The sequence below is a fragment of the Homo sapiens genome, chromosome X (genome assembly GCF_000001405.40).
Source record: "Homo sapiens chromosome X, GRCh38.p14 Primary Assembly".
NCBI classification, from domain to species: domain Eukaryota; kingdom Metazoa; phylum Chordata; class Mammalia; order Primates; family Hominidae; genus Homo; species Homo sapiens.
Window position 1 is genome coordinate 102,535,337 of NC_000023.11, and position 13,098 is coordinate 102,548,434.

Here is a 13,098-nt window from a genome sequence, read left to right on the forward strand (position 1 = left end):
GGGGAGGGATAGCATTAGGACAAATACCTAATGCATGCGGGGCTTAAAACCTGGATGACGGGTTGATGGGTGCATGAAACCACCATGGCACATGTATACCTATGTAACAAACCTGAGCATTCTGCACATGTATCTCAAAACTTAAAGTATAATTAAAAAAAAAAAAAACAGGCCAGGCACGGTGGCTCATGCCTGTAATCCCAGCACTTTGGGAGGCCAAGGCGGGCAGATCACCTGAGGTCAGGAGTTGGAGACCAGCCTGGCCAACGTGGTGAAACCCCGTCTCTACTTAAAATACAAAATTAGCAGGGCATGGTGGCAGGTGCCTGTAATCCCAGCTACTTAGGAGGCTGAAGCAGGAGAATCACTTGAACCCAGGAGGCAGAGGTTGCAGTGAGCCAAGATTGCACCATTGCACTCTAGCCTGGGCAACAAGAGGGAAACTCCATCTCCAAACAAAACAAAACAAAACAAAACAAAAAACAACTGCAAAAAAAAAAATAAAGTGTAGAGTTTTTGTTAGTTTTCTTTTTACATGTTTGTTTGTTTATGCAATCAGTGTTATCAGCAGTTTAAAATAGTGGGTAGTATGATTGAATTTGCAAGCCTCATGGTAAGTTCAAGTTGAAAAACATAAAACATACACCAAAAATGGAAAAAATTAAAGCATACCATCAGAGAAAAACACCCTTCACTAAAAGGAAAATGGGAACAAAGGAAAGAAGGAAGACAAGACTGTTAAACAACCAGAAAACAAATAACAAAATGGAAGGAGTAAGTCCCTACTTATCAATAATAACATTAAATGTAAATGGACTAAACTCACCAATCAAAAGACATAGAGTGGCTGAATGGATGAAAAAAAAAAAAGTAGAACTATTACATGCTTCGCCTATAAAAACACACGTAGACTAGAAATAAAGGGATGGAAAAAGATATTCCATGCCAGTGGAAACCAAAAAAAGAGCAGGAGTAGCTATACCTGTATCAGACAAAATACATTTCTAGACAAAAACTGTAAGGAGAGGCAAACAAAGTCATTATATAATGATGGAATCAATTTAGCAAGAGGATATAATTGCAGATATACATGCACCCAACAATGGAGCACTCAGAAATATAAAGCAAATACTATTAAAGCTAAAGACAGAGATAGGCCCCAGTAAAATAATAGCTGGAGACCTCAACACCCCACTTTCAGCATTGGACAGATCTTCCAGACATAAAATCAACAAAGAAACAACTGACTTAATCTGCAGTATAGAACAAATGAACCCAATATATATTTACATAACATTTCATCAAACAGCTTCAGAATACACATTCTTCTACTTAGCACATGGATCATTCTCAAGAATAGACCATGTGTTAGGTCACAAAATAAGTCTTAACACATTCAAAAAATGGAAATAATGTCAAGCATCTTCTTTAACCACCATAGAATAAGACTAGAAATCAATAACAAGATGAATTTTGGAAATGATAAAAACATATGGAAATTAAGCAATATGTTCCAGAATGACCAGTGGATCAATAAAAAAATTAAGAAGGAAATTGAAAAATTTCTTGAAGCAAATGATAATGGAAACACAACATACTAAAACCTATGGGATACAGCAAAAGCAGTACTAAGAGGGGAATGGATAGCTATAAATGCCTACATCAAAAAAGAAGAAAACCTTCAAATAAATACCTAATGATGCACTTAAAGAACTAGAAAAACAAGAGCAAACCAAATACAAAATCAGGAGAAGAAAATAAATATAAGGATTAGAACAGAAATAAATGAATTTGAAATGACAAAAAATGAAAAAAGATCAATGAAACAAAAAGGTGGTTTTTTGAAAACTTAAAATTGACAAACCTTTAGCCAGACTCAGGAAGAAAGAAAGGGAGAAGACCCAAATAAATAAAATTGGAGGTGAAAAGGGAGTCATTACAACCAACATCACAGAAATTCAAAGAATCATTAGTGGCTACTATGAACAACTATATGCCAATAAATTTGAAAATCTAAAGGAGATGGATAATTTCCTTGACATGCAGTATAGTAAGATTGAACCATGAGCAAATCCAAAACCTAAACATATCAATAACAAGTAACAGGATTGAACCCATAATGAAAAGATCCCTAGCAAAGTAAAGCCCATGACCCAATGGCTTCACTGCTGAATTCTACCAAACATTTAAAGAAGAACCAATACCAATCTTACTCAAAATGTTCCAAAAAATAGAGGCAGAGGGAATAATTTCAAGCTCATTCTATTAAGCCAGTGTTACCCTGATACCAAAACCAGGCAAAGACACATTAGGAAAAGAAAACTACAGGCCAATAGCTCTGATGAATGTTGATGCAAAAATCTTCAACAAAATACTAGCAAACAGAATTGAACTATACTTCAAAAAGATCTTTTATCATGACCCAGTGGGATTTATCCCAGGGATGCAAAAATGATTCCAAAAATGTAAATAAATCAGTGTGATACCTTATATCAACAGAAAAAAGGACAAAAACATGTAATCATTACAATGGGTGCTGAAAAAGCATTTAGTAAAGTTCAACATCCCTTCTTGATTAAAAAAACCTCTCAAAAAACTACGGATAGAAGGAACATATCTTAACATAATAAAAGCCATATACAACAGACTCACAGCTAGTATCATACTGAATGGGGAAAAACTGAAAGCCTTTCCCCTAAGATCTAGACATGACAAGGATGTCCGATGTCAACACTGTTATTCGACATAGCACTGTGAGTCCTAGCTAGAGAAATCAGACATGACAAAGATATAAAGGCATCCAAATTGGAAAGGGAGAAGTCAAATTATCCTTATTTATAGATGGTATGATCTGTATTTGTAAAACCTGAAAGACTCCACAAGAAAACTATTAGAACTGATCAACAAATTCAGTAAAGTTGCAGGATACAAAATCAACACGATAAAATCAGTAGCATGCGAGCAATTTGAAAAAGAAATTTAAAAAGTAATCCCATTTATCATAAGCACACATAAAATTAAATACCTAGGAATTAACCAAAGAAGTAAAAGATCACTATGCTGAAAACTCAGTTTTTATCTGCAAATGTCTTTATTTCACCTTCATATTTGAAGGATATTTTTGCCAGATATACTATTCTAGGGTAAAAATTATTATCCTTTTGAATAAACTTTCTATCCCAATCTCCTTCTTTACCTCCTTTTTAAAGCTAACATCTCCTTCTCTACCTACTCTTTAAGCCCAATAACTCTTAGATTTGCCCTTTTCATGCTATTTTCTAGATCCTGTAGGCATGCTTCGTTGTTTTGTATTTCTTTTCTTTTGTCACTTGTGACTATGTATTTTGAAATAGACTGTCTTCAGGCTCACTAATTCTTGTGATCAATTCTGCTATTAATGCATTCTTCAGTATGCAGCTCCAAAATTTCTGCCTGATTCTTTTTAATTATTTCAATGTCTTTGTTAAATTTATCTGATAGAATTTTGAATTCCTTCTCTGTGGTATCCTGAATTTCATTAAGTTTCCTCAAAACAGCTATTTCAACTTCTCTGTCTGAAAGGTCACACATCTCTGTTTTTCCAAGATTGGTCCCTGGTGCCTTATTTAGTTTGGTGAGGTTATGTTTCCCTGGCTGCTCTTGATGCTTGTTGATATTGGTTGGTTTTTGGGCATTGAAAAGTTAGGTATTTATTGTACTCTTCACAATCTGGGGAAGGCTTTCCAGGTATTTTAAGGAACTTGGGCCCCAAGCTGTATAACACTGTGGTTCTTGCAGACTCGTAGAAGTAACACCTGTTGGTCTTGGTTAAGATTCGGAAGAATTCCCTGGATTACAAGGCAGACACTCTTGTTCTCTTCCCTTACATTCTCCCAAACAATCAATCTCTCTCTCTCTCTCTTCCTCCCCCTATCAAATGGCCTGGAGCTGGGGGCGGGGTGACACAAGCACCCCTGTGGCCATCACCACTGGAACTGACCTGAGTCAGACCTGAAGCTAGCACAGCACTGGGTCTCTCCCAAGGCAAGCTGTACCAACTACCTGGCCACCACCTGTGTTTGCTCAAGGCTCTAGAGCTCTACAATCAGCAGATGGCAAAGCCAGCCAGGCCTGTGTCCTACCCTTCAGGATGATGAGTTCCCCAAGGCCCCATGTGGATCCAGGGATGCTGTGTGATTATGGATTTTTGTGAAGGTGCTTTTCTGTGTGCAGATAGTTGTAAAATTTGGCATTCCTGCAAGGGGAATGATCAGTGGAGCCTTCTATTCTGCCATCTTGCTCCATCCTCCAATTTCTTTTTGTTTTCTGGGATTTTGTTTTTTTGTTTTGTTTTGTTTTTTGTTTTTACTTAGCATGTATAACCTTAAATATTTAATATAATATACTTATTTTGTTGACTATGTATTATCTGTCTCTCAACTACTCCCCACCCCCATCCCAGAATGTACACGCTCAGTGACATTTCCCAAGAATCTAGAACAGTATTTGGCACCAAGTGTGCTCAATTCTTAGTGGAAAGCATTAAGAATAAATTAAAAAGATAAAAAGTAAGGATAACACAAAACTCTATTACTGAGGTTCAAATATATAGAAGCTTAAAAAACACATACAAATATATGTTTAGTAAAATAAATTTTAAGAAAAACAGAAAAACAAGAGTAGTAAGTCCTTAACAAAGTTTTGAGTTGACTCTGGCTTCCTATAGATATTTCTAGTCAATTTTATTAAGTCCATTTTATTTTTATATGTCTACTGAGATTTGTCTATTACATTGTGAAAATAGTAAAAGCAAACTAGAGGGATAGAAAAAAAATATGAGGAGTTAAGCTGACCTAACATAAATAAATTTTGATAGCTATATAATTAGAGAAATTAACAAGGAAATGACACTATAGTCTCATATATGGTGTGAAGTAAGTCCAATACTATACTTAAAAAGACTGGAAAGATAATAACATTTCAAAGAATCTGTAAAAGTCTGAAGCACATATTATATTACTAAGTGGTGAGTGAAGACTCCCCATTTTATTCTTGTAAGTGGCTGTATCAGTCAGGATTCTCCAGAGAAATAGAACCAGTATATATTTTCAAAGAATATATATTTTCAAAGTATTTTTAATTTAAATTTATTTGAAAGAATTGGCTTATGCAATTGTAGGGGCTGGCAAGTTTGAAGTTCATAGAGCAGGCCAGCAGGCTCATACAGGAGCTGATACAGTCTTGCATCAGAATCTTTCTTTATCTGGGAAACCTCAGTTTTTGCTCGTGAAGCCTTTCAGCTGGCTAGATGAAGCCCACTCATATTATTGAAAGTAATATCCTTTACTTAAAGCCAACTGATTGCAACTGCTAACCACATCTACAAGAAAACCTACACAGCAATGCCTGGATTGCTGTTTGATTAAATAACTGAGTATTATAGCCTAGCCAAGTTGACACATCACAGTGACTAAAATGCTTTCACCAAGAACTTTCTCTGAAGCATCCTGTCAATTTTTGGGGAAACTTCTATTCAGATCTGCCCCAGTGATTTTCAATGTACGTATTGCCATATACTACCCTTTCAATTCTATAAATATTCATTGAATATCTACCATGTGGTAGCCACTACAGGAATGTCTGTCCCCGAGGAGCTCCAGAAATTGGTTTTGTGTGTAGTAACTTTATTTTATATATCAGTAACACTTATTACTTTCAAGCAAATAAGTCAGCTTTCAAAGGATGCATCTGAGTAAGCTACTGACAAAGTTTTACCAACAAGATTTGATAGGTTATTTGTCTATTTGACAAATAACCTATTTGATAGGTTATTTGTTATTTAGTGTCCAGCATTAAGAGTCACTTTGTAGTCTCAAAAGTTTCCTCTACTGTGTTGATTGAAAATTTAAAGACAACTTCATCATAATGAGGACACACCATCTTCTTTATATTCTGGCCTCTTGTATGATTTATATTCCTTATCTTTAAGTCCATTCTGTTCTGTCTACACCTACCTTTCTTATTTTTAATACACTTTTACTACACTAGTTAATCTTTGCTAAAAATCATAAAGTGGGATCAAAATCAGGAATTTGTGTCACATAAAAGCTAGAATGTAATGGGGATGGTATGAACTCATTATGTTGACCAATTGTAATGGCATTTTCTTTTTGGCTTATGTTACTGAAGTTGCATTGTAAGAAACAACTAGAATTCTTAGAGTATTACAATTGTTGAAGTGAGAATATATGTAATAAACTTTGTGACTACTCTCTTCCTGCATAATTTCTGTGCTAGCAGTCAGATATTTTTGATCCTGCAACTGTGGTCCAAACTTAGGTTTAGGGTCATTGTCAGGCCACCTTTATTGCTAGTCCTCTCCGATCCTTGACCAAGTTAATTGAGCTTTTTGTCTTCCAAGTCTCGGAAATTGGCCACAGTCTTACTTCCCCATGTTTTCTCCATTCTGTTGTGCTGCTTAGGATTAAATTCCTTCATGACCAAGTTTCCTCCAGCTTCTTGCCAGTCATCTCACGTCTGGTCTCATGTCTGAGCTACAGTCCCCTGGTGTTAGATCTCCCTTTATCTGACAGCTGACTTTCCTGGATCTTTATCTCCTACCTGAAGCCAGAGCCACAGAAAGTCTCCTCCCTGGAGGTGGGTTCTGTCTACTGAACAGAATCCATTCTTCGCTCTTCACAAACTGACTCTGTGCTACCTTTAACTTTTCTTCAGAGATTGTGGCAAAGAAGCTTCCCTGATTGCCGACTACATCCATCCCTTTGCCATGCCCTAACTATAAATCAGCACTATTTCTATAACTGCAAGTAAAACGCAGAGATAACTTTGAAAAATATATATTTCTTTATTGGTTTCTTTAAATTTGGCATATTATTTTATGAAAGAAATGCATGTGCCTATCAAATATAGTAAGCAGTGAACATCTCATCTTCTCCTTCCTCTGATCTCACTCCTTGGAGAAACTACATTTAACAGTCTGTCTATCAGCAGTGGTATTCAACCCCCACTGCATCTTAGGATCACCTGGGGAGTTTTTCAAAATGCTGATATCTGTTCTCCACTCAGTGATCTGTTGCCAAATGTTTATCAACCAGAGCTGCAGGTTGGGAGGCTGAGTTGTAGTATTTGCTGATTTCCATGGCATAAATACTGTTTCCATGACAAATTTCAACATACCAATGTGAGATAGTTAAGTCAATCAGTGCAGAATTCCTGAAGATTTTTTTTTTATTATACTTTAAGTTTTAGGGTACATGTGCACATTGTGCAGGTTAGTTACATATGTATACATGTGCCATGCTGGTGCACTGCACCCACTAACTCGTCATCTAGCATTAGGTATATCTCCCAAAGCTATCCCTCCCCCCTCCCCCCACCCCACCACAGTCCCCAGAGTGTGATCATGTCTCATGATCCTGTATAAGTTGGCTTCAGCAGACCACCGCCTCCACCCTCATCCCGTTCCATAATAATTAAATCAGAATATCTGAGGACCTGTCCAAGGTAAGTTTGTCTCACACAGAGCCCTTGTAAAGTAGTGTTTGGCCCCTGGGTTTGTAACCTGTCTCTGTCATTTAATAGTGGTATAATGTTGGGAAACTTACTGTGCCTCAATTTTCTTCATTTGTAACATGGGAATATTAATCATGTCTACTTTATAGGATAATTCTGAGGATTAAAATAATTCATGTAAGACACTTAGAAGAGTTCCTGGCATATTAGGAATTTTTACTCTCTCTTAACTCAGTTTCTTCATATCAACTAGACCTCTTTGAGAAGACTGTCCAAACTTGACTCTGGCTACAATTTTTAGTGTTAATTTTTGTGTGTGTTAAGTTATTCAAAGCAACTCAGGAGTTCTGTGCTGGAAAAAATTAAAGATGACTTAGATTGAGAATTTAGACTGAGTACAAATAAGAATTTTAATTAAAACCACAACTCAAATTCATAGAATGGTATATTTCATTCCCTACACCATGCTAGGGTAAAGAGGGTTAGTGAACATTTGATTAGGGAGAACATTTCCTTTTCACCAATATTGTGACCCTAGGTAAAAGATGCTAAAAACATACTCCTCTGAAGATGCTTCACTCCATGAATTAAATACAGGTTTGGTCATAAATAATTACCCTGAAATGAATTTCTGAAGGACAGATAAAGCATTCAGATTCACCATTCATATAATCAAAAAGCTTGATCTTTTAAAATAAAACCTCTAAAATAATAAATAAAAAATTTAAAAAAACTCTATTCACTTTTAATAAACAAATTTTAGAACCTGAAATCACCTTAGAGATCATTCTCTACTGAATTAAAAGTGAAGGACTTGCTGCTAATTAGATCTGATGTATAAGCAAGTTCGGAACAATCCCATGGCATTTTCTCAAATATTCTTAGGCTCTCAGTTATTCTCTCCATCAACTGAGCTTTGACTTTTTTTTAATGCTCAAAGTTCCTGCTAACCACACTTTACCAGGACACTTGGAACAATGGGAGACTTAGTAAACAAGAAAATAAAGGAAAAATAATTGAAGGTTATTTCTAAATAACATAATTGGACAAGCTTGGAAATGCCCTCCTGCAGCAACAGAGCTTACAAGATAATATGTAGGATTCAACTCCAGAGCAAGTTGATCTAACTTATAATGATCTAGTTTGTATAAATAATCCACATTCCCACAGCTCTTCTAGACTAAACACTGTTTATAGTGGAAAGAGTAGGATAAAATTACTGTGTAGGCTAGCTTACAGAGTAGCAATTATGCTCTCAGACTTGGATATTTTATTCTGTGGTTTTCTTTAAAAGTGTTTTTAAATTTGTATATGATGTGAAGTATCAGGGAGTAGAGGGAGGTGAACCAGCATTTTTTTTTCCATATATGTCTGTGTCTATTTCTGGACTTTCTATTCTGTTTCTTTTATTTATCTTTGCCAATATCCAAACTGCCTTGATTACTACAGCTTTTAATAAGTCTTAGGTAATATTTTTCCTCCAATTTTCTTCTTTATTTGATAAATTTGTTTTGGTGAATCTAGGTGCTTTGTGTTTCCACATCAATTTTTAAAAATTTTTTATTATACTCTAAGTTCTGGGATACATGTGCAGAATGTGCAGGTTACATAGGTATACACATGCCATGATGGTTTGCTACACCCATCAACCCGTCATCTACCTTAGGTATTTCTCTTAATGCTATCCATCCCCTAGCCCCCCCACCCCCCATAGACCCCAGTGTGCGATGTTCCCCTCTGTGTGTCCATGTGTTCTCATTGTTCAACTCCTGCTTATGAGTGAGAACATACGGTGTTTGGTTTTCTGTTCTTGTGTTAGTTTGCTGATGGTTTCCAGCTTCATCCATGTCCCTGCAAAGGACATGAACTCATCCTTTCTTATGGCTGCATAGTATTCCATGGTGTATATGTGCCACATTTTCTTAATCCAGTCTATCATTGTTGGACGTTTGGGTTGGTTCCAAGTCTTTGCTATTGTGAATAGTGCTGCAATAAACATACGTGTGCATGTGTCTTTACATCAGCATGATTTATAATCCTTTGGGTATATACCCAGTGATGGGATGGCTGGGTCAAATGGTATTTCTAGTTCTAGATCCCTGAGGAATCGCCACACTGACTTCCACAATGGTTGAACTAGTTTACAGTCCCACCAACAGTGTAAAATGTTCCTATTTCTCCACATCCTCTCCAGCACCTGTTGTTTCCTGACTTTTGAATGATCGCCATTCTAACTGGTGTGAGATGGTATCTCACTGTGGTTTTGATTTGCATTTCTCTGATGGCCAGTGATGATGAGCATTTTTTCATGTGTCTTTTGGCTGCATAAATGTCTTCTTTTGAGAAGTGTCTGTTCATATCCTTCACCTACTTGTTGAGGGGGTGGTTTGTTTTTTTCTTGTAAATTTGTTTAAGTCTTTTGTAGATTCTGAATATTAGCCCTTTGTCAGATGGATAGATTGCAAAAATTTTCTCCCGTTCTGTAGGTTGCCTGTTCACTCTAATGATAGTTTCTTTTGCTGTGCAGAAGCTCTTTAGTTTAATTAAATCCTATTTGTCAATTTTGGCTTTTGTTGCCATTGCTTTTGAGAACCAGCATTTTTTAAAGTTGTTATTTCACACAGAGTACTATGGGTAGCAGTTTCCATAGGCTGTCCTATGAAGTTTCATGACAACTACAGAAGTTAGGTTTTTTTGTTTGCTTTTTATTTTTGATGCAACTCAGTAATTTTTATTGCAACTGGAAGATAATACATTGCAGAAACTTATGGTAGGTCTGGGGAAAAGTGTTATTTACAAAAAATGATGAAATAGTTTGTCTTTGGCAATATGATTACATACAAAGAATGCAAAATGCAGGTATGCATACCTTCCAAGCAACACCATCAAGTCCCTAGAGTTTGGCTGATTGTGCCTGCCTCCATATTGTTTCTTTAGGTTCACACGAACATAACTGAACATCACATTCTTTCTCCTTTATGGTTCTCCCTTTCTATTCATGATATTGGCATGAGTATCAGAAAAAAATGGCTTTTGAAAAATTATTACTCTGGTAAATTAATTTGGCCATGTAGGTCTATTGACCAGCCAAGGTCAGATAACCCTAAGCATCAATAGTAAGCCTCTTGGTCTTCTGATTGCTTTTATCACTTTTTTTTCTGTAAAACAAAACAAAACTCAGAAATGTTACAGAATCAGAGTATTAAAAAATGTACAAGTGTATATGCTTCCCAGACACACATGGATACATTTTTCCTCCACATTTTCATGATGGCAGTATTAAGTAGTGAGTATGAATGACACAGCATGAAACTGGTTACTGAATCAGCTATGAGCTCAGATGGCCTCAACATACATACTCAAGAAATGTTGCATGTTTAAATAACTGAGAGTGTGCTAAATCTCATCTAATAAAAGGAGGAGAGGGGCTGGGGAACTCAGAACACAGTCATGTAAATCTAAGGGTTGGGCCTGAACGATGATTACTTTGCACACGTGCCTTCTAGGTGCTGAATGTGTGTTCCAGTAGCATTGACGTTGACCTCCTTGCGGATTCAGCCACAGGTTTCTGACAAGCTTGAGGAAGCAATGGTAATTTTAGCTTTTTCGGTTTTGTCTTCAGATAATGAAAAGCTTTTGTAAAACAGCTGAGTGTCAATATGAGTTATATGGCTTCAATCTCCTTTAAAAATAAAATTCTTAAGGGTCCAAAACAAAGAAGAGGGGGCAAATTAAAAAAAAAAAGGAAAAAAAAAGGAAACCAAACCAAAAACAAAACAAGAAAAAAGAAAAAAAAATGCTGATATTGCCACAAATCATTAGAAATCTCCTGACATGCTGAAACCAAATGGCCTTAAGTTCAAAACAAAACAGTGACTTGTTTTTAATTTTTTTGTGATTTCGTTTTGCTCTTCCTGCCCCTTTGCCGTCCGATTGGTGATGTTATTCAAACAGGATCGGATCTCTGCTAAGTGCAGGAGCGACCCCGCCGCTTCTTTAATCTCCTCTTCTTCGCCCTGGTGGGGGGCGGTGCGGGGGCGGTGCTTTACAGTGCGTCTCTTTTTGAGGGGCAGTGTGTCGCTGGGGACCTTCCTGGCCTTAGCAAAGTCCTGGCGTTTCTTGTGCTGGGATGCGTACCCGCTGTCCCCCAGAGCATCCCTGGGCTCCTTCTGGCTGTGTTTCCTGTCGTCCTCTTCCCTGTCGCTGTGGCTCTCGTGGCTCCGGAAGCTCCCCTCGCTGCCCTCATTGCCCTCCTGGCTCTCCTTGCTGGCAAACTTGTAGTGGTCGTCGGCCAAGGAGGAGGAGGGGATGGAGTCGCTGGTGGGCAAGGTGCTCCGGGCGTTGGAGGATTTGGCATTGGTGCAGTTGTGATCCTCCTTAGGGTCTCCGCTAACCACCGGGGAGCCACACGATGGCTCGCTCTCAGTCCGCATCCGGCAGCTGGTGATGCCGTACATCATGGCAGCCGTCATCTCAATGGGACTGATCGGCAGCTGCCGCACACCAGGAAACAGTCCTCTCAGCTCAGGACCCGCGCTCCGTTTTGTATCACTCCTGGAGGAAAACCTGCTTGTATTTCAGGGGGAGTCCCATGGCCCTGGTAGCATCAATGTCAGGATCTTGGAGAAGGGCTCCATTTCTCTTGAAGAAGGTACTGCCCGGCCAGACGGGTAGACCTGATGTGCTTTGATATGCCTGAGGACAGGTGGGAGGTGTATTGAACACGTGTGGATGTGGGTGTGGGAGATAAAGTGTCTTTTTCAAAGCCTGAGTTAGATTTTGTCTATACTCTGGGTCTATGCACCACAACGACCCTTTCCCAATACTCTGACTCCTCTCTTCGTCCACTTTCTTAAAATCCTTATTCAATGACAAATTGTGTCTCACTGAGTATTTCCACCCAGTAGGTGCATTTGCAAAATATGGAAAATGTTTCAAGATCCAGTTGTAAATATCTTTCACAGGCAGGCGCTTGGTTGGAGAGTCCTCGATGGCCATAAATATGAGGCAGCTAAAGGAGTAAGGGGGGATTGCAGTTGGGGTTCTGCCTGGCATCCTAGGGCATATCAGAGTGGGTGGGGACGGTGGCTGTCATCGTCCAGGCCCTGGACCGGGCTGACACTCGAGGATCGACTCCCCAAAGCTCTTCAGCAAGTTCTTGCTCTCATGCAGCCAGCTCAGGTTGGTCAGCTCTTCATCTTCCATGGTCTCCTCTTTCAATAGGATGTCAGGCAGAGAAAAGTCGAGGTCATCATCTTCCTAAAGGGCTTGGAGAAACCACTGCCCCAGTAACACTGACTCAGTCCACTGGAGACACTAACTCCTGAGCTTTCTGGCATCTTACTGGGAGGCATGGCGGGACCCATATACATGAAGGCTCCTGAGTCAGAATGGGTCCAGGAAACCGAGGTCCGCATTGCTTCCGTCACAGAAGGACAGAAGGGCCTCCATAATCACGAGAATGCTAGTCTTCTAGGGGCTTCTATCACCTGGCCCCGCGTTGCTTCTCACGGCCGCATTCCGGGGATGCGGCGACGCTGGACTCACCTGTGGCCCAGCCGCTGGGTCGCTCAGTCTCCCAGCCGA

At 38.6% G+C, this 13,098-nt stretch overlaps 1 pseudogene; it reads right to left on the reverse strand.

Annotated features, from left to right (window-relative positions):
• Positions 1 to 11,202: 11,202 nt before the first annotated feature.
• Positions 11,203 to 12,894, reverse strand: FOXN3P1 (forkhead box N3 pseudogene 1; annotated as a pseudogene).